Genomic DNA, 22447 nt, shown 5'->3' on the forward strand with positions numbered 1-22447 from the left:
AAGGAAGGAGATTTTTGGATTTCAGGCATGGCTGGATCCAGGATTCTCTCCATCTCTCAGGCTCCTTATTCCCCCACCTTGGCTTTATTCTCAGCAGGCTCTCTCCAAATGGGGACAAAGTTGGTATTTGGCAGTTTCAGGTACCATTTTAGGTATCAACCAGCCACTTTACAAGAGGAAAGTGCCTCCATGCCAGTAGCTCCTGAAAGTCCAGGGTTGTGTCTCATAGGCTTGCCTTGGGGCATGAGCTCCCCCCAACAACCAATTGCTGGGGCAAATGGGTTTGAATGACCTGATTGGCCAAACCTGGGTCACATGCCCACTCCTAGGGACATTGGAGGAGCCCCATCCAAACCCCAAGAACAGAGAGCAGGGAGAGACAGACCTCAGAGAAAACCAAGGCACTTGTGCCAGCCGCCCCTATACCCAAGTTACATGTTGAATGGCCCAGCCCCAATTCTCTGCCCGACATTTCTGCAGGCTGTGCATTCTGTCCTTGCATTCTCTCCAGCAAAGCCCACGTAGGTACAACATACACTCATCATTCCGTCCCTGGGTTTGCATAAAAACCCACGTCCACGAAGTAGCAACTGCAATGTTTTTCAATCACACAGCAAAGATATTTAAAAATATCACCCATATGTGTTTTAAATACAGGCAAATAGCTGGCAAGGCAGCCGGCTTCACACCCGCGTGCCATTCTGAGTTATAATCTTCTCGCTTCCAACTCTCAAAATCACACGTTGAAGGCCAGATGAGCCCAGAACGCAAAGGCTGTGCATCTCCCCGGAATCTTCCCGACCTGCGCAGTCCAGCTTTCTTTCCTGGTGGAGGAGATGTGAAGGATCCTGGAAAGAAATTGGAGGGCCCTGGGCTTGAGCTGAAATCATTTGCTCTCCACTGAGAATACAGAAATGGAACCAGGAATTTGTTAATGACTTTCACTCCAACCTCCTTCCTGAAACCCTCCTTTTCATCCAGCCCAGCCAGCTCTCTCACTGTCCCCTTCCTGCCTGCCTCTAGTGTCCCCTCTCTCATGTTAAAGTCTTTAAGATCCAACATCTCAGCTAGGTTGCTAGCTGATTTATAGTTTCCTTTAATATCCAAAATAATGTCCTTTTACTATAAGAGATAATTCCAACTCAAACAGGCTAAAAATAGAATAGATTATCTTAATCTTACACAAGAAGTGCAGACGTAGGCGAACTCAGGTTTGGGTGATCAGTGGCTATGTGATATCAACTCTCTCTGTGTGGCCTTTAACCTTGGCCTGCTTCCCCTAATGGCCCCAAAGTGGCTGCCCCAGCACCAGGTATCAACACCTGGACACAGAAGCATCCACAGTAAACCTTCGCTAGAAGCACCTCTGCAGACCTTCCCTCACATCTCATTGGCTAAAACAGTCACATGTCCAGGCCTAGACCAATCACCAACAAGGGTAATGCAGGCATCGTAATTGGTTTAGACTTTAGATTAATCAAGATTTAGCTCTGAAATTGGGGAGAGTCATCCTCAGCTTCCTCTGAGTCAGGATTTTGGGCAGATGGACATGCCCACAAAATTGAGAATGTGCCAGCAAGGAATATGGGGAGCATGGTTGTGAGGTTAATGTAACAGGCCCCATCAGTACCCCACCCCTGTTTGCTTATCATCTCATTTCAGGACAAGCCTTCTGACTGCCAACTGCTAGCACCTACATGTCACTGGCAGAAGGGTTTCCCTGGCTGCGGTAGCTCACCTTGCCCACCCACACAGGAATCTGGAAGAGCCAGGGAAGGTATGCCCCTTGGTGGTACCCCTTGGCAATGACTGATGGCTGTTGGTGTGTAAATACCCCAGCTCCCTCACTCCTCAGACAGGATAAGGCTGAGGGCGTGTGTTACTTTGTCTACAGCATTTCCTGGTGGATTAAACCATAGGCAACCAAGTTGATAAGTCATTTTTTAATGGGCTTCCTTCCCTTCCCTGTCTCACTTCCCCATTGCTCTGTGTCTCTGCCCTACAGTCATGCACCATATAACAACATTTCAGTCAATGTTGTACCACATATACCACAGTTGTCCCATGATGTTATAATGGAAATGAAAAATTCCTATCACTCAGTGACATGATAGCCATCATCACATTGTAGCCCAATGCATTACCTTTTCTATGTGTAGATATATTTCGATGCACAGATTCTTACTACTGTATTGCAGTTGGCTATGGTATTCCATACAGCACTATTCTGTGCAGGTTTGTAGCCTAGGAGCAATAGGCTAAACCGTATGGCCTAGATGTGTATAGGCTAGACCATCTGGGTTTGTGTAAGGACACTCCATGATGTCCGTGCTATGTCATTACCTAACCACGCATTTCTCAGAATGTATCCCCATTGTTTAGTGACACATGACTGTACTTGCATTTGAGTGCTAATCTTGGGGTCTACTACTGGGGGTACTCAAAATCAAGCAGTTGGATAGGACTGCCTGCTGCAGAATGAAGATGGAAGAAGAAGAGGGGGAATAAGAAGAAAGAGGGATCCGGGCATGGTGGCTCATGCCTGTAATCCCAGCATTTTGGGAGGCCAAGGGGAGCAGATCATGAGGGGTCAGGAGCTCGAGATCCACCTGGCCAACATGATGAAACCCCATCTCTACTAAAAATACAAAAATTAGCCAGGTGTGGTGGCACCCACCAATAATCCCAGCTACTCGGGAGGCTGAGGCAGGAGAATCATTTGAGCCAGGTAGGCAGAGGTTTCAGTGAGCAGAGATTGCACCACTGCACTCCAGCCTGGGTGACAGAGTGAGACTCCAACTGAAAAAAAAAAAAAAGAAGAAGAAGAAGAAGAAAGGGGGAAGAAGGAAGAAGAGGAGGAAGAAGAAGAAAGAGGAAGAAAGAAGAAGAGGAGAGGCAGGGTCAGCTCGGAGGAGGCGCTTTCTCAGAAATCTGGGAAGCTCTTATAATCCGCAATCCATGGATGGCATCCCTTGCTTTCTCTAATCCCTTCCTCTGGGCTCTGGCCTCTCCCTGCTCCCTCTGCCTTGGTGCTGCATGAGCCTGATGGAATGCATATCCTGTGCTGGGTATGCTGGATGTTTCTAGCTCATTTAGTCTTGTGCACCCCCGACCTAACCTCCTATGAAGCTGGTGTAGGTCCATAGTCCCTTGTCTGCAATTTCAAAATCCCCAAAGCTTTGGAATTCGAAAGGTTTTATTTTCAAGTTTACGTGGCAAGTTCATTTGACTGAAAAGTCTGACCAGGACTTGTAGAATGTATAGACTTAAAAAACAAAACAAAACAAAACAAAAACACTTAATATGAACAGCCATCCATTTGCTGCAGAAATATCAATGTGCTTGGTCACAGGGTGCTGCCCAGATCCTGCGTGTAACTAACACTCAGTATACAGTATTCCAAACCTCTGAAGAATTCTGAACTCCAAAATACATCTTGTCCCAAAGAGTTTAGATGAAGTGAGTTATGGAAGTTTGATTAATTTTATTATCATCTCCAATTCACAGATGAGGAAACTGAGACTCAGATAGGGTCAGTAGCTTGCCCAAGTTTGTATAGCGAGTGTGGCCTGGATTTAAACTTGGCACATCTAATGTCAAAGCCAAGGTCAGTACCCAATAGAATCCTTCAATCCTTGCCACCCACATTCTCAAATTTTGCCATATCCATGTATCATCTATGTTATTATTTTTTAAATATTTTTTCTCTAACTTGGCTCACTTTTTACTTAAATAAGTGTATTTGTAAAAGGAAACTTCCTATCACCACTCTAAGTAGAAAACTGGCATCTCTTGCCCTAAATAGAAAGGAGATACTTATAAATAAATATGTTGAGAGTAATGAATTACATTTTTGCCTGCCAGAGGGACTGAGCCTGTAACCTGCTCTCTCTCTATTTAAAAGAGAGATTTCTTTTTTCAAGTTACAGATGCACTAGCATCTAACTGAAACTTGCACTTTGGGAATGATCAGAAAGATTGAGAGACATTTGAAATAGGGCCAGAGGAGGAATGTAAGAACAGCTGCTGTCAAATTGCCCATCTTCCATTTGAGGTGTGGATGGGGTTTGAAGTGGAAATTAAATTGGCTTAAAGAACATAAGGAGGTCGGGCATGGTGGCTCATGCCTGTAATCCCAGTACTCTGGGAGGCCAAGGCGGGTGGATCACTTGAGGTCAAGAGTTTGAGACCAGTCTGGCCAACATGGTGAAACCCTGTCTCTGCTAAAAATACAAAAATTAGCTGGGCATGGTGGCACGCACTGGTATCCCCAGCTACCTGGGAGACTGAGGTGAAAGGATAGTTTGAACCCAGGAGGCGGAGGTTGCAGTGAGTTGAGATCGCACCATTGCACTCCAGCCTGAGCAATAGAGCGAGACCCTGTCTCAAAAAAACAAAAAACAAAAAAGAATATAAGGAGACCCACTGTCTCTTGTACACCTTGTCTGTGAACTGAGATGTGTACCTAATACCCATGGAGCCAGAAACCAGGTGTCCCCATACATGCAAAGTCTGTCTGGCACATCTTTCCCCAAGGAGAGTCTTGGTAGCCCTGTCTTTCAGACCTGGACAGCCCCCAAGATGCTGCAACCTGCTCCTTCCCCCAGATTGTCCCTTCTCTCAGCACTCTCTTCTTCGAGGACAAGGACTTTCTCACCAATATCTGTGGGACTCCAGGATGAGGCTACAGATTTGTTGGCATCCTAACAATTTCTCTACCTAAGGCCGTCTATGCATTTTTCCTTGATTAAGAAGAGCAGAGCTTCCAGCATAGACAGAAGAGGATTTGAGAGATGCCAAGCCTGGCATCCCCTGCTTAGACCAATGTGATGTTAACCATGGAAGGCTGTACGAGACAATGCTTTACGAGGTGCTGTGTTTCCATTTGTCCCACCATGACTCCCAAGGGATAGAGGCTCCATCGTCCTGGGTGCCTGAGTGAGGGTGCTTGGGCAGAGCCCTAAGCTGACCCACAGTGGACACATAACAGGAACAAGAAACATACATTTGTTGTCTTAAGCCTCTGTGGTTTGGGGATTGTTACTGAGGAGGCCAGGAAAAGTCTGATGCACACAAATCCTACTTTCTCCAAGGAACCTTCCTTGTAACTCCAACCCAAGCTCTCCTTTTTCCTACCTTGACTGTCTACAAATACCATCTTTTCCCTCCTTCCCTTCCTCCCTCCTCCCTCTCTCTTTTACCTCTGTCTTTCCTCCCTCCCTTCTCTTCTTCTCTCTCTCATCCTTCCTTCTTTCCTTTTTTTTTTTTTTTTTTAACAATTTTTTTCCTTTTTTTTTTTTGAGACAGAGTCTCACTCTGTCACCAAGGCTGGAGTGCAGTGGCACGATCTCGGCTCACTGCAACCTCCCATTCCCTGATTCAAGTGATTCTCCTACCTCAGGTTCCCAAGTAGCTGGGATTACAGGCATGTGCCACCATGCCCAGCTAATTTTTGTATTTTTAGTAGAGACGGGGTTTTGCCATGTTGGACAGGCTGGTCTTGAACTCCCGACCTCAGGTGATCCACCTGCCTCAGCCTCCCGAAGTGCTGGGATTACAGGTGTGAGTCACCGCATCCGGACTTAAGAGGTATTTTCTGAGTGCCTACTATGCAGAATTCATGCAGAATTCTGTGACATCAGTGCTCCATTCCAGGCTATATTGTGCCATGTTATCCTCGAACTGTCTCTCACCCAAGGCAGTTTCATGTCTTTTGGACTGTGATAGCCAAAAGGATAGTAACTCTTGAGACGTCGTCATTGTTGTGTCTCCAACACCAAGCACAAAGTGGGTTTGATGAATTACCTGTTGGCTGATGGAGGGAACAAATCATAAGCTCCTCTGGACCTTGCACCATGAACATATTTTTGCAGACCCACTGGCCTCTTGCAATGGGCTCATAGAAATATGTTCTGGTTGGATTGGGTGTATCTGAAAGTGTCCGGGAATCCACGTCTGGAGCCCACTCATTGTGTCCACTGGGTCTTCTTCTAGGAGATGCTGATGGGCAAGACCTCATCTCTTTTCAGCACAGGCATCACCATAGAAGTAAACGCCAAGAGGATAGCTGCCTCTCCCTTACCCTCCACAATTCTCATTTTCTTGGGTACCCCTAGACACCTTGCTTTAAGAAAACTGACATGAGGCTGGGCATGGTGCTCATGCCTGAAATCCCAGCGTTTTCGGAGGCTGAGGCAGGAGGAATGCTTGAGGCCATGAGTTAGAGACCAGCCTGGGCAGGATAGCAAGACCCCACCTCTACAAAAAATATTAGCTTGGTATGGTGACATGCACCTGTAGTCTCAGGCACTTGGGAGGCTGAGGCAGGAGGATTGCTTTAGCCAAGGAGTTCAAGGCTGCAATGAGTTATGATCATACTGCTGTTCTCCAGCATGGGTAACAGAGCAAGACCCTGTCAAGAGTAGGAAAGAAGGGAGGGAGGCAAAGAGAAAGAGAGGAAGGAAGGGAGGGAGGGAGAGAGAAAGAGAGGAAGGAAGGAAGGATGGAGGGAAGGAAGGAAGGAAGGAAGGAAGGAAGGAAGGGAGGGAGGGAGGGAGGGAGGGAGGGAGGGAGGGGGACATGAAGATTGGAACTTACCCAAATGATCAGTAGTCATCTTCAACAACTGTCATGCACTTACTCTGCACCAAATCCATTCACTAGATGATTTCAGACCTTCACAGTTGCCCAGCAAGGAAACTGAAGTCCAGAAAAACAAAGAGCCCCCAGGGTCACACACTAAGTGGCAGAGAGGATGTTTAGTCCTTACATGTCCCTCAAACCAAACAATACTCCACTTCCCTGTTGCAAAATTTATTTTGATCTATTGCAGATATGAGAAGAGGTGAAGAACAACATTACAGCATCTGTACACCTGCAACCCAGCTTAAAAAAATACAAGATGACCAGCTAACACCCCTCTACCTATCGCTCCCCAAGTTCAGTCCTTCCTCACCTGACCAGATTATCTCTATCTTGAATTTGGGGCTTATTATCCCTATGAATTAATGTGGTTTTTTGTTTGTTTGTTTGTTTGTTTTGTTTGTTTTTTCGAGACAGAGTCTCGCTCTGTCGCCAGGCTGGAGTGCAGTGGCGCGATCTCCGCTCACTGCACCCTCTGCCCCCCAGATTCAAGCAATTCTCCTGCCTCAGCCTCCTGAGTAGCTGGGACTACAGGCACGTGCCAGCATGCCCGGCTAATTTTTTTTTTAAATTTATTTAATAGAGACGGGTTTTCACCGTGTTAGACAGGATGATCTCGATCTCCTGACCTCGTGATCCGCCTGCCTTGGCCTCTCAAAGTGCTGGGATTTCAGTCGTGACCCACCGAGCCCGGCCAGTTTTTTGTTGTTGTTGTTGGGTTTTTTGTTTGTTTGTTTGTTTGTTTGTTTGTTTTTGAGATGGAGTTTTGCTTTTTTTTTGCCCAGGCTGGAGTGCAATGGCATGATCTCGGCTCACTCCAACTCCCCATCCCAGATTCAAGTGATTCTCCTGCCTCAGCCTCCCGAGTAGCTGGGATTACAGGCACGTGCCACCACACCTGGCTAATTTTGTATTTTTAGTAGAGACAGGGTTTCACCACGTTGGCCAGGCTGTTCTCAAACTCCTGACCTCAGGTGATCTGCCCACCTCAGCCTCCTAAAGTGCCAGGATTACAGACGTGAGCCACCGCGCCCAGCCTGAATTAATGTTTTATTGAGACTTGTGAATGTGTCCTGAAACAATATATAGCAGAGTATTGCCTGTTTTAAAAGTTCATATACATAATATTCTATTATTTGTGTTTTTCAGTCCCTCGTTTTTTTCACTCAGCGTGACTGTGTGAGAATCATCCATGTTGACTTATGTAGCTCTGATTCATTTATTTTTCCCACTTATAGAATTCTATTGTGTAAATACTGTACAATTTATTTATCCAGTCTACTGCTGATGGGCATTTGGTGACTACCTTTTTCCTTTTGTTTTTGGTGACAGGATCTTGCTCTGTCGTCCAGGCACAAGTGCAGTGGCATGATCACGGCTCAAGGCAGCCTCAACCTTCCAGGCTCAAGTGACCCTCCCTCCTCAGCCACCCAAGTAGCTGGGACTAGAGATGCACACTACCATGCCTAGCTAATTTTTGTATATATATATTTGGTAGAGATGGGGTTTTGTCATGTTGCCAGGCTGGTCTTGAACTCCTGGGCTCATGTGATCCACCTGCCTCAACCTTCCAGAGTGCTGGCATTACAGGCATGAGCCACCACATCTAGCCCCTCTTTTTAATAACTGTTGTGAACAATCTTTTATAAACAATCTTATATAAAGATACAAATCATTTGCGTCCTGTCCTGGTACAAGAGTCTCTGCTGGGAATATTCCTAGGAGTAGATCGCTGGAACATACAGCATGCATGTTATCTGCTTCACTGGATGTAGCTGGATTGTGTTCTAAGGTGGTTGTACTAGTTAGACCCACCTCCTGCCCCTAGAGTGTATGAGGGCTCCAGTTGTTCCACATCCTTGCCAACACTTGTTCTTACCAGGCATTAACATTTTGGCCAATCTGGTGAGTGGGATACCTCATTTTGGTTTTATTTTGAAGCTTTCCTAATTATCAGAGAGGCTGAGCAGCTTTTCCTGTACTTATTGGCCATCTGAGTTTCCTCCTCTGTGAAATGCCCATTCATGGCTGTCACATGCAGTTCTAGAAAGGGATGTTTTGGCTGAGCATGATGGGTCATGCCTGTAATTTCAGCACTTTGGGAGGCCGAGGCGGGAAGATCTCCAGAGCCCAGGAGTTGGAGGCCAGCCTGGGCAACATAGTGAGACTCTCTCTACCAAAAAAAAATTAGCTGGGTGTGGTGGCAAGCACTTGTAGTTCCAGCTGCTTGAGAGGCTGAGGTGGGAGGATGGCTTGAGTCTTGGAGGTCGAGGTTGCAGTGACCTATGATCGTGCCACTGCATTCCAGCTTGGGTGACAGAGGGACACCCTGTCTCAAAAAAAAAAAAAAAAAAAAAAGGAATCTTTTTCCAGCGCCAGTGGGGCTATGTACATCTTTATTTCTTTGTCATCGTGAGCTTGGCAAAGAAGCTGACATTCAAGACCTTCACGCAAAGGAGGAAGCAGGGAGAGGGTTAAGGAGAAGCTGGGCAAAGATCTGGGATTCTCCTCTACTTATCTCAGTGATGCCCCTTGAAGTAAGATTGGACGGCGGCTCTCACGACCCCTTAGCACTCGGGAGGACTCATCTTTCCAAAGTGATGAATCTTCATGCTGACAAAGTTGAGTCATGCAGAGAGCGTCACTCCCCTTTCACAGATGTAAAATAAGAAAAACGAGGCCTGGGAGGTGCTAGACGGCAGTGGCTTGTCCGAGGACACATGGTATCATGACTCTGGCTAGCTGTGCGTAAGACCTGCTGGGACTGCAGAACACAAAGTGGCGCAGGCCACCAGGAAGACTGGCAGGAGCACCAGGGAACCTCATTCCTGGGCCAGAGTGGGTCCCCTCAAGGCAGTTGGATGGCCTAAGGGTGGACTCAATGGGAACCCACAGCTAATTGCAAGGAGCCCATAGTCTTAGGTCAGGGGGCTACAGCAGCTGAAAGCACAAAGTCCCATGGTGCCCAGGCTGTGTGACCTCAGGGGTTCATCCAGGTTGGCAAAGCCACAGGATTGGCTCAGGAAGGGGTGCTGGGTCCAGCTTCCAGGGGGATGGCTATAGATCCATCTGCTGCAGTTACAAGTAGGACCCACAGCATAGAGACTCAGTGCGTGAGATGTTGGTTTCTTAGCCACGGACCAGTCCTCAGCAGGTGTTTCTGGGTGCCAGAGGCTTCCCCCAACCTGCCATTCAGAAACCCTGCCTCCTCCCTACCCTTAGGTCTTGCAGCCTTCTCCTGGGACCAGTGGGCTAGCCCAAAAATGTTCTTTCCATGGCAAAGGCCATGGCCCAAAAAACAAATGAAGCACACAACATTTCTTGAGACGTGGGCTCAGAACCAGCAGACCAACACTTCTGCCTCGTTCTGTGTGCCAAAGCAGCTCACATTGCCAAGTTCAAGATCAAGAGGCAGGAAAATCACCCTCACCCACAGTGGGAAGGTCATTCGAAGTCATCTGGCATTGGGCACACAGAGAGGGAAGGGGAAGAACTGGTGCCAGTGACACCATCTACCACAGGCAGGTATTATTATTCTCATTTTCTTTCTTTTTTTTTTTTCCTTGAACAAGGTCTCACTCTGTCACCCAGGCTGGAGTGCAGTGGCACAATCTCGGCTCACTGCAACCTCCATCTCCCAAGTTCAAGCGATTCTCCTGCTTCAGCCTCCTGAGTAGCTGGGATTACAAGCGCCCACCATCATGCCCGGCTAATTTTTTATATTTTTGGTAGAGATGGGGTTTCGCCATGTTGGTCAGGCTGGTCTCCAACTCCTGACCTCAAGTGATCCACCCACCTTGGCCTCCCAAAGTGCTGGGATTACAGACATGAGCCACCGCGTCCAAATTAAGCTGATGTCCAGAGAGGTTAAGCAACCGGACTTAGACGCAGCCAGGTAGTCGCAGAATCAGGATTCAAAGCCAGTAGCTCCTGCACCACCCCCTGCCACATTGAAAGTTGACCCCTCTATTGCTGGCATCATCGGGCAGTCATTTTCCATTGACTTTTAACTAAAGTGTGGGGTGCACACTTTCCCTTGCAGAATCTCTCTTTTCTAATAGCTTCTTGTCTGGGCCGCCATCTGTCCCTCTGCCCCATGGCGTTGCTTCAGCAGTGGGGCGAGGCCCCACCAGCCAGGTTTCCCCCAACCTTCACACTACTTAGCAACATCTAGCAGATGCAAGTTTTCTGACACGGGCTCCCAGGATTAGCAGATGCTCTTTCATGAGCATCATTTCCATCATGTTTATTACTTCCCTGAGATTATCTTAATTCCATAGTCCCCAGGAGACACATGATGCTTATGTGGCCATGTGGCCCCTGGAGATTGGAAGGAAGTGTAGGCCTGCTGGGGCTTCTTGTGGTGGAGGACTTGCCCTCTAAAACAGACTTCAGCTCCTAGAGAAGCTTCTAGACCTGGGGGAGGCTGGGAGGTCCAAGCAGTTATGACAGCTCGGTGGGAGTAGGAAAAGGGAGAAATCCAGAGGGCTCTGGAGTTAGCCTGTCTGGATTTTAATTCACTGTCTAGCTCCATGACCCTGGACAAGTTACTTCCCCTCTGTGCCTTCAGTGTCCTCATCTGTAAAATGGGGATAATAATAAAAGTGCTGGCTGGGTGTGGTAGCTCCTACGTGTAATCCTAGCACTTTGAGAGGCCCAGGTGGGAGGATCGCTTGAGCCAGGGAGTTTGAGACCAGCCTGGGCAACATAGTGAGACTCCATCTCTTAAAAAAAAAAAAATTAGCTGGATATGGTGGCACACATACCTATAGTCTTGGCTGCTCAGGAGGCTGAGACGGGAGGATCGCTTGAGCCCAGGAGTTCGAGGCTGCAGTGAGCTGTGATTGTACCAGTGCACTCTAGCCTAGGCAACAGAGTGAGACCTGTCTCAAAAATAGTAATAAAAGTGCCTACCTGTGGGGTCGTTATGAAGTTATATGAATTAATTCTTGGTGCTTAGATCAGTGCCTAGCACATAGTGATTAATTATAATTGATTTGAATGATGTAAGTATTATATTGGGCTCCTAAGGGTCAGCTCCACCCAGGCCTCCAAGTATCACTCATTTCCCCCAAACATCGATGCTGATCATGCAGCCTGCATTCAGGGGGCACCTGTGGTTGCCAGGCTCTTCGCATGCATTGTCTTATTGTCACAACACTAGGAGGTCCCCATTAACCAGACTGGGAAACTGAGGTTCATAAAGGTGGAGTGATGGCCAGGTGGAGTGGCTCATGCCTGAATCCAGCACTTTGAAAGGCTCAGCGGGGAGGATGGCTTGAGGCCAGGAGTTGGAGAGAGGTAAAGCAACTTGCCCAAGGTCACAACTACAAAGTGGCAGAGGTAGGATTCAAATCAGAGTTCAAACCTGGTTGCTGTGATTCCAGACCTGCTTCTTGCAGTCCCTAAGCATTCTTGTGTTTGGTTTGGGAGGAAGGAGGAGGGAAACAGACTTCGCTTCCACGATGTTGATGGTTTCTTCCAACCACCCTTTTGGGGGTTTTGACCCACTTTACAGCTGAAGAAACAGGTTCAGGCAGGTGGAGTGACTCACCCAGGGTCACACACCAAGGAAGAGGCACAGCTGGGGTTTGCATCCTCATTTGGGCTTGGGTCTGACTTCAGACTCGTCCTAGGCTCTGTCCTGAGATACATAGCAATTGCTTTGCGTTCTGGTGTTATCTCCTTCCTCTGAATATCTGTTTGAGAACTTTACACCCATTTTACAGCTCGGTGGATGGGGCCTGGGAGAAGCCAGCGAGTGACAGAGCAGCGACTCAAACCCCTGCCTCTGGATCTGATCCTCTTTTTTGTCTTGGGCAAGGAAATTGCTGCTTGGGGAAAGGAAAAGATAGGAGGAGAGAAGGAAGCTTTAAGTGGGTAGGGGTGCCCCCAAGTCTAGCTTTGGGCTCCCTCAGTTATCACCAGTCAGGTTGGGGGCTGCCCAGAGCCCTCATTCAGGTCCCAAGGGCGCCCAGGCTTGGCGTATACACCGAGTGTCCACCAGGTGGGGCTTTTGCCAAAGGCCAGGCTCCGGGAAGCCCCAGGAGAGGCCAGGCTGCCCCACCCAGGGAAGGGAAGGTACAACTGGACATACCCTCCTGCCTGTATCTTGGCAGGATACTCACTCGTGTGCACACGCAAGCTGTGCAAACGTGTGTGTGAGCACACAGCCATGTCTCAGAAAACCTGTTTCTGGCTCGTGTGCAAATGTGCATGAAAAGATGTGCATGGGACATGCAGGTGTGTGTGCATGTGTGTGTTCATTTATGTGCAAACATGAATACATGTGAGCAGTGCAGAATAGGTGAGTGCAGGTGTGAGCAAGTGTAGACAGGAGCATGTGCAGATGTCTATCTGTGCATCTGTGTGTGCACATATGTGCAAATATGTACATATGTGAGTGTGTGCAGAAAAGGGTGTGGGCACATGGGTGGCAGATTAGACCCTGACCTTGGGTGCTGAGGTTCATTTTAGAGTCTCTTTCTTAGGCTCCAAAAATGGAGGCAAGGGGATGGAACCAATGACCTCTTGAGGTCCCCAATGCCTGGTACATTTGCCAGAGACCCTGATGGATGCCAAGGACTTGGAGCAAGAAGAGTCATGGCACAAGGGGCTGGATGTGCTTCCCGGGTCAGGGAGTGTGGCAGCGGGGCTGGTTGTGCTTCGTGGGTCAAGGAGTGTGGCAAGAGGGGCTGGATGTGTTTCCTGGGTCAGGCAGCGTGGCAAGAGGGGCTGGATGTGCTTCCTGGGTTAGGGAGTGACTGAATGGGGGGATTTTGCTCCCCCAGATGCTGAATTCTTTAGTACTCAGAGGTTTCTGCAGTGTGAGGGATGGAGACTCACCCTTCAGAGAAGAGCTTTGAACCTTCCTCCTGGATGCTCAGAGCTCTGGGGAATGTGGCCCGAATCTGTGGCCGCAAGAGGGGATTGGCTCTGACTTCCAGGCCTGACTCAGCCCCTCACCAGCTGTGCAGTAAATGTAAGGTCCCACGAAGGAGTTAGAGGTAGTCGAGAAAGGGAAGGGGTGGCATTAAAAGTCAAGAACTGGAGCCTTGGCATCAAAGAGAACAGGCTTTGACCCCTGCCTTTGTTGCTCACAGGCTGGGTGACCTCGGACAAGTCACTCACCCTCTCTGATCCCCCATTTCCTCAGCTATTAAAGGGAGGAAACAGCCACGCTTACCTCCAAATGCTGTCAGGGAAGGAAATTAGATGACGGGGAGAGCGAGCCCAGCCCCATGAGGCCAAGTGGATCAGTTTTTGGTTTGCGGAAGCCAAGAGCTGAGAATCCAGAAGTTCCAAGGGGATTGAGGGAGTGGAAAGGCAGGGACTGGCTGCCAGGGCAGCAGACATGTTCCTTCTCCCCTCCCACTTGTGCCCCCCCCAACACCTGCCCCCGTTGGCTCCAATTTGTCTGAATGGCATCTTTATCCCTGCTTCTCTCCTGCCCTGAGCACTGGCAGCAGAAGCTTAAACAGGGCAGGAAGGGAGGGTGGGAGGAGGAGAAGAGCAGGCTTTTGTAGCAGGGCTGCCAAAGGGTGCACGTTTTCCTGACCAGCTTCTAAATTGTGCTCAGCCATCGTCCTGCTGAGTGAACTCAGGTGGGCTATTCCACCTCTCTGAGCCTCAGTTTACTTATCTGTAAAATGGACACAGGCATGCTCAATGTGAGATTTGGGGAGAATGCTGGGGATGGCCTCAGTGCATAGTAGGCACCATTATGACAACAATGATGACGATGACAATGATGATGATCGTGGAGAGGGACAGAGAAAATGTAAGCATCCACATATCCCTGGCTTACCAAAGGAATAAAAGAATTCTTTCTTTCTTTTTTTGCTTGGCTCCAGGCCCATGTTTTGCTGATGAGACTAAATGTGAGAACCTCCGATTTGAAGAAGAGGGAGGAGAAATGTGAGCCCAAGGAGGAAGAAGAACAAAGGAAGAGGGAGAAGAGGAGAAGGAGCTGGAGAATTGGAGAGTGAGCGATGAGAGAGAGAAGACGAATGAGCTGTTTGTAGGGAGAGAAATTAAAAATAGAGCCTGGAGAGGCTGCTTTAATGACGGGGACTTAGGGGAGAGAAAGAAGCAAAGAGGATCTGAAGGCGGTAAGCCCTCCATGCCTTGCCCTTAAGAAAACCTGTAGCAATAGTCTGCAGTCTTCATTGAGGCTTTGGGGGCCCCGATTGTGGAGTTTTGTTTGGGTGGGTGAAGGGGTGTGCTGGAGGGCTCAGTTCTTCGCAGAGTACAGACAAGGCTGATGTTGCCTTTGGGAGCCCACAGTTCTGGATGCTGATGGAGGAATGGGCCACTGCCCAAGCCAGAAGAATGGGATCTGGGTGAGATGGAGGGTCAAATGGGTGCCCGGAATTCCACAGTGATTGTTTCTGAGGACTTCAGTCACTGTCTCACTTACGCACTGGGCTGCTAAAATAGGAAGGCAGACCTGGAAGGCAGGTGCTTGCCCTGGGGCCAGCTTCTCAGAGGCTCGCACGTTGTGTGCCCAAGGAAGAGCTGTACAGAGCAGGGGCCTCTAGAACATTTGACCTTTGGTGAGCAAGTGTCTCTAAACCTCCTGGAAGCTGCCAGCTGTCAAGTGGCATTTCATTCCGGGGGTACTCAAAGAAAATTCAGTCCTTGTTCTGGCCACAATCCAGTTCGGGAAAGAATCCTGGGCTATTACATGACCAGAGCTATTAGGATGCTTTAAAACAGACAGACAGACAGGCAGACAAACATAGTATAGTGAAGTCAGATTAATCACAATATGATCCTTCCATTCCAATGTTCTGTGCTGTTGGAAAAAAGGAACTAGTTGAATTTCTTCAAATTCATGGTGTGCCGACATCTCCACCTGGGGTTGATCTTGGTGTATGGTGTGAGGTAGAGATCTAATTGTATTTTTCCCATATGGGTAGCCAGCTGGTCCAGCATCATACTGAAAATGAAATCTATCCTTTCCCCACTAGTTTATTATGCCAGCTCTGCCATCTACTCATGTATTGGTTCTAAATTTGTATGAGTCTGTTTCTGGGCTTTTGATTTTGTCCCCTGGGTCAATGTGTCTTACTTGCTCTCTGTTATTACAGCTTTATAAGAAGTCTTCTTCTCTTATAGGAATGATTCTCCTATCTTGTTACTCCTCAAACTTGCCTCGGCTGTTCTTGACCCTTGCATCTTTGTAAGAATTTTTGAGATGGGCTTGTCACGTTTCATGAAAACTCTTATTGAGGTTTTCATTGGAATTGCCTTAAATGTATGAATTAATTTGAGGAGAAATGACATCATCCTGTTAATTCTTCCAGCCCATGAACAGGGAATCTCGCTGTTCAGTCAGCTCTTCTTTTATAGACATCTCAGGTGGGTGTGGTATGTGTATGAGTCAGGGTCCCAGGAAGAAACAGACCCCCACCCCTCCCACAACCAAATGAAGATTCCTGATGAAAAAATAAATTTGTGCTCATAAAAAAGCTTAAAATGATGATGTAGAAATTATCCAGGCATGGTGGCTCATGGCTGTAATCCCAGCACTGTGGGAGGCTGAGATGGGAGGGTCACTTGAGTCCAGGAGTTTGAGACCTCCTGGGCAACATGGCTGGAGTCACAGAGAGACCCCATCTCTACATAAAGTAAAAAATTAGCTGGACATGGTGATGTGCACCTATAGTCCCAGCTACTTCAGGAGCTGAAGTGGGAGGATCTCTTGAGCCCAAGAGGTTGAGGCTGCAATGAACTATGTTTGCACCACTGCACTCCAGGCTGGGCAACAGAGCAAGACTCTGCCTCAAAACAAACAAACAAACAAAAGCAACAGTGACAAAAAAGAAATGATAAGGGCCTGTAAGCCCATTTTCCAGAACTAATATCTGTTAACCATTTGATATCTAGTTTTGTTGACTTTTCCCAAAGCACCACATTTTAAGGAAAGAGATTATTCCATAATGCTGTTCTATAACCTGCTTATGTTTACTTTACCGTATATCATAGACACATATAAATATATGCCTCAACATATATAAATAGCCCTCACTTTCTTAACAATTGAATTGCGTTCCGTGGTAGGGGTCAGTCAGGGCCCCAGCAGGGACACTCAGCTGGGATTTTTTTGTTTTTTGTTTTTTTTGAGATGGAGTCTTGCTCTGTCACCCAGGCTGGATTGCAGTGGTGAGATCTCGGCTCACTGCAACCTCTACTTCCCAGGTTCAAGTGATTCTCCTGTCTTAGACTCCCAAGTAGCTGGGCTTACAGGTACCTGCCACCACGTCCAGCTAATTTTTGTATTTTTAGTAGACACAGGATTTCACCATGTTGGCCAGGCTGGTCTTGAACTCCTGACCTCCAGTGATTCATCTGCCTCGGCCTTCCAAAGTGCTGGGATTACAGGTGTGAGCCACCGTGTCCAGCCTTGGCTGGGATTTTTAAATGAGGAGACCATCTGAAGAGGTGTGGGCAGAGGAATGTTGAGGCCACCAGGTGCCAGCAACAGGGGAAAGCCATTTCCATCCCGGACCTGAAGCAGGAGGAAGAGGGAGCAGTTGCTGGGACCCAGTGAGAGCAGGAGAGGGACAGCTTGACAAGGACTGCGTCTGTAGAAGGACCCAGTCACAGCCAAAATGGCAGCAAAGTAGGGAGGGAGCTGGGGAATGAGCACCCCAACCTTCTCTCCTCCTGCCTTCTTATTTCCTACCAGGGCCTCCCACTAGCCAAACCCAAGTGAAAGCCAGAGAGCAAGGAAGCCTGGGAAATGTGGTCCACAGAGGTCAGCTTCCTGGGCACTGAGCAGGTGGAGAATGGTGCAAGAGAAGAGAAAAAGGAGAATGACCAACACAGCTTGAATACAAGATTGCTTATTTAACTAGTCCCTGGCATTGGAGGGGAATCAGGTCAAGGGAGCCTGTCCTTCTTGTGTTATTTCTCTCCACGGAGCATTGGCCACTGGGCATCGGCACATGGCTCAGGCCGCAGCCTTTGCTTTCTGGGAATCTGCTTTTGCACCCATTCTCCCCCTCCACGAAAGGCAGAACAGCCTCAAGTGCAAAGAGCTCCAACTTGCTGTGAGTGAACCCAGGTAGTAACCCTGGTTTTGCCCCTTTACAACCATGTGACCATGAGCCAACCACTTCTCTCCAGGCCTCAGTCTTTGCATCTGCAATATGGGAATACCAATCCCTGCCCAGTCCATTGTGAGGCCAATAATAATGAGATCTAGTAGATGCTGCACATTTACACAGTGCTTTACATGGATTAACTAATTTAATCCTCATCACATGTATGCAATGGCGCAATTATTAGAGCCATTGCATACATGATGAAAATGAGGCACAGAGAGGTAAAATAACTTGCCCAAGGTCACAGAGCTTGTAAGTGGCAGAGTTGAAATTCACACCCAGACAATCTGGCTCCAGATGGCTGTTAACCACTATGTTCTAGGCTCCTAACCACTATGCACCTAGCCACTGTGTTATGCTAGTGGTTTATTTATAAAGCATCCAACAACCAGGAGGTGTTTACTAATGGCAGTTGTTGACAGCATCGTGCCAGGATTGGACCTTGTAGCAGGTCACTCTAGCCACAGAATCCTGGACCTAACCACGGGCCAGCCTCCAGGAACACACCCTGCAGGTGTCCACCAGACAGTCCCATACCCCTTACTCCTAGTGCTGTTTAATACTTTCAGATGAATTCAGATTCTGTAGTTGTTTTTCTCCCTGCCTGGCAGCTGCAGTGGGCAACGCGGAGCTACCGAAGGACATTTTCTTTTGTTTCAGCTTTGATCCTGGGGATTTCGCATATCATTATGTATGTGGCTAAGGACCTGCCATTATCTTCCCCGGGATTCTTGCACAGTTAGTGAATTTCCTAAAGGATCCCGGCTCTCTGCCTGCTTCTGCTGTTAGGATAGGCTGCCCCAAGCTGCCCTCTGATTCCTCTGGGGGAGGGGAGGTACTTTCTTTTCTACAGTAATTTTTTAATACTCATCTTGATGTGTGAGTCTTTGGGAATCAGGAATTAATCTGGAACCTGTTTAAGTTTTTGCCTTATCTATGTACGTGTGTGTGTGTTTGTGGCAGAGGGTGTGCTAAGACCATGAAAAACAGCTTTTCACAAAAATATTTAAAACGTTAGTGCTTTAGTTCTTAAATCTAAGGCCATTGTCTGCTGACAAAGTCTGAATTTCCTGGCTTATTATCCTTCATTAAGGACCACCCATAATATTTCCCCAGCTAATTCTGTTTGGGGGTAAACACTTATCTGCTCAATTCATTATTGCTAAGTCTGAGATGGTTACAGATGCCTTTGGAGTAGAAGCCCCCACATCTAATAAGCACAGGCACACGATGCAGTTGGAATATGGTGGGGAGAGACGGCTGAAATTTATTTTGTGAATAAAGCAATAAGCCACTAGGCAAAGCTAATATGTTTCAGCCCAGACAGAAAGACACGATCATTCAGTATTTATGTAGCAACCCATTCCTCTGTGGGACTACAAGTTTCTACCATTAAAATTGTTGGAATTCTTCAGAGACCCACTGCATTAAGTCATGTAAAAATATCACAGACTTAAAACAATCTGAATTATTGGATTTTCTCGCTGCTCGTCGGTAAGCATGTTTGCTGTGGCAATTTCCTGCTGGGTCAAAGGTGCAGCCTACTTCAGTCAGGAAAGTAGAAAGTCCTGTGCCGAATTTTTATTTGGAAGCCAGTAGTCCCTAACAGGTGAAACAAAGTCAGACCTAGATTTATCTATTTTTTTCTTTTAATGCACTTTCAGATTCCTAGAAATCTTGCCAAGAAAGTAGAAGGAATTTCTGTGTACTAGTCACCTAGAATCTTCAAATGTTAACATTTTGCAACATTGCTTTATCACTGTGTCTAGGTAGACATATATAGATAAATAAATAGGTACATATTATTTTCATCTGCATTGCTTGAGAGTTGGAGACATGATGTCTGTCCCTTTATCCCTAAATACTTCAGTGTGTTCTCTAAAAACAAGGATATTTTGTTACATAGCCACAGTATAATAGTCAAAATCAGGAAATTAACATCGATATAACACTATTATCTGATCTATTGACTTTATTTTAAATTTGTCATTGGTTCTAATTCATCCACTTTATAGTAAAAGAAAATCCAGGATCGTACGTTATAATCACTTGTCAAGTCTCTTTAGTTTCCTTTAATTGGAAATAGTTCCTCCATTATTGTGTGTTTCATGTGCCACTGATGTTTTTGAAGTGAACAGGCTGTTTATTTTGTAGAATTTTCCCCTCCATTTGGGGTTGTCTGATATTTCTTCACAATTAGATTTAGATTATACCTCTTTGGCAGGAATACCACAGAAGTGATCTGTCCTTCAAGCACAACATATCAGGAGGTACACGATGTCAGTGCGTCCTGTTCCTGCAAAATCACACATAAGTTTAAAATAATTTTCTTCATCAAACCCTTGGCTTGTTAAACATTGCTTGGAAGGGTTTCACACGCACTCTAGTAGGACTTTAAAAAGCAGACCCAAAGACAAGGAAGCCACAAGCTTTACAGATGCTCAGGAGAAAAATGTAGCCATTTAAAAAATTGTAATGTGATAGTTATGAAATTTCCCTAAATTCATTTTGCAGAATGAGAGCTGTAATTTAAACCTGAAGTTATCGAGAGCTGAGATAAACCACACATCACGTGCAATTTAATCTGGCAGGGAAACAGGCCACTCGGAATTGCTAACTAGGCCTAATTCATTACATCTCGGTGAATGCAGTACTTTTGGTCTTACGCGTCTTTCAACTCCTGCATTAATATATTTACCCAGACCTCATGGAAAATGTATGGGAATGGAAACAGAAATACTGTATCCTTGTTTAAATCACATTTCATTTTTTAAACAGCTCAAATGATTGCTCAGAAAGATCACACCTTCTTCCGAAGCATTTATGAAACAATTATTTACATTACATTAAAAACTTTAATTGCCTCAAAGCACGTGCTCTGAGACACAAATATTGGAAAATCATCAAAAATATCCATCATGATTCTCTCTTCTTTATAACTCTTCTAAACTTTATCTTTTTTATAACCCACTGTATTGATCTATTGTCCCAGACCAAGAGTGATGTCAGAAGTCTAGGCTGGGTCATAAAAAGAATATAATTTCCATTTGCTGTCCATAAAAGCAAATCTTTTGATCAGAGAAAAAGGAAAAACATGTCCCCTTTTTTTGAGTGGGGAAGAGGGTGCGGTGCTATGTATCAGGGGAATAAGCCAGAGAGGAAGGGTGACCTCACCTTTAAGGGTGGTGGCAGGGATAGGCAAGGGGGTTGGTGATGGAGGGGGCTGGGAGTATGAGTTCCCCCTGGAGGTGACATCTCACCTCCAGGGGAAGTGGAAACAGAGGACCTCGAGCTTGCACAGAGGCAAAAACAAACAAACAAACAAACAAACAAACAAACAAAAAAGCAGACAGAAAAATGTAAAACAAGAAATCCAGTCACCCCGGTTGTCAAGAGTCCGAAGAATTGCAAAGGACCGGAACCTCCCTCTAGCCATGCTGAAGACCCTCTCCCCAAAGACAATCACAATAAAGGAATGTCATGTTGCAAAGAACGGAGCCCCGGATAATAATGATGATAACAACAGCAGAAACCTCCGAGGTTTTTAAGGATCCGGAGCCCCCACAGCAGGGGTAGGGCACCCTCAACAGTCATAACAATAAAACAAGCCCACTGGGGGAAAAGGCCCTCCAGAGGTTTGGTTCAGAACCAAATAACAAAACCTCCAATAATCATCATCACAGTAAAAGGGTTTCACCTTGCAAAGCTGTGGGGGAGTCCCTATAATTGGGTTAAAGACCCCCCAGATAATAACAACAGAAATCCCTATTCCAAAGGACCTGAGGCCCCGCCCTCGGCCCCCGCCCGTAAAGAACCCTGAGCTACTACTCAGACGAAGCCCCCCTCCCCGCCAATAATAATAATATAATGGCGCGGAAACTGTGGGCGGTGGTGGTGACATTTCCCACGACTCAGTGGCGCCCCCGGGCGGCTCCCACCCTCCCTCCGGCCGGCGCGTCTACGCAGCCCCAAGTGCTGGCTGCGACCCTCGGATCCCAAGCATATCTGGCGATGGAGCGGCGGCAGCCCGAGGCACGTGTTGTGTGTGCTCCGATTGCAAAAGAAAAAAAAATGCATTTCAAACTATTAACTTTTTTTTAAGCGTGCAATGCCGGGAGCTGGGGGTAGACAGGTGCAAGCGGGGGTAGGCGCCCCGCGCGCCCGCCTCCCGCAGCGCCCCCTCCCAAACTTCCCTTTGCATTGATCAGCACGTTACGTCAGTATTGATAAGTTTGCAAAAAGCCAAAGTCAAGTGCAATCGCGCGGCACACCGACCCCGGACTTGGGGGGGAGATGCAGCGAGCGCTCCGCGGGCCCGGGAGCCGGCGGCAGGCAGGGCAGCGGCGGCGCCGGCGCCTCTCGGAGAGGCTGCCTCCCCCCAACCCCTCCCCTCCCACCCCATCCCCGGCTGCCTCCCCCGGGCGGGCGCCGAGCTCCCCGCCCGGCGCGCTCCGCCCGCGCCCTCCGGGGGTCGGGGGGGCGCACGGCTCCCGGGCCCGTTGGCGGCGGCGGCGGCGGCGGCGCGGCGGCGGCGAGGGGCAGCGGGTGGCAGGAGGCCGGAGGGCGCCCGAGGGGCCCCGGGCCGCGGCGCTCAGGGCCCGGGCGGCCGGCGGCGGCCCCGGGGCTGGGGGGAGTCCAGCCCGGATATTGAGTGCAGCCATTGAGAAAAGCCAAACTCTTGTGTGTGCGCGTCT

At 47.8% G+C, this 22447-nt stretch overlaps 1 long non-coding RNA gene across 2 annotated transcripts; it reads right to left on the reverse strand.

Moving 5' to 3' along the window:
* Positions 1 to 677: 677 nt before the first annotated feature.
* On the reverse strand, positions 678 to 13982 carry LOC105369981 (uncharacterized). 2 transcript variants are annotated; one of them, XR_945338.2, is made up of 3 exons: positions 13829 to 13982; positions 6598 to 6699; positions 678 to 848 (listed from the first exon to the last, which is right to left on the reverse strand). It is a non-coding gene; the product is annotated as an uncharacterized LOC105369981 (long non-coding RNA). The 2 variants fall into 2 exon arrangements; XR_945339.2 differs by lacking the exon at positions 13829 to 13982 and adding an exon at positions 12197 to 12253.

This window comes from Homo sapiens, chromosome 12, assembly GCF_000001405.40.
Source record: "Homo sapiens chromosome 12, GRCh38.p14 Primary Assembly".
NCBI classification, from domain to species: Eukaryota; Metazoa; Chordata; class Mammalia; order Primates; family Hominidae; genus Homo; species Homo sapiens.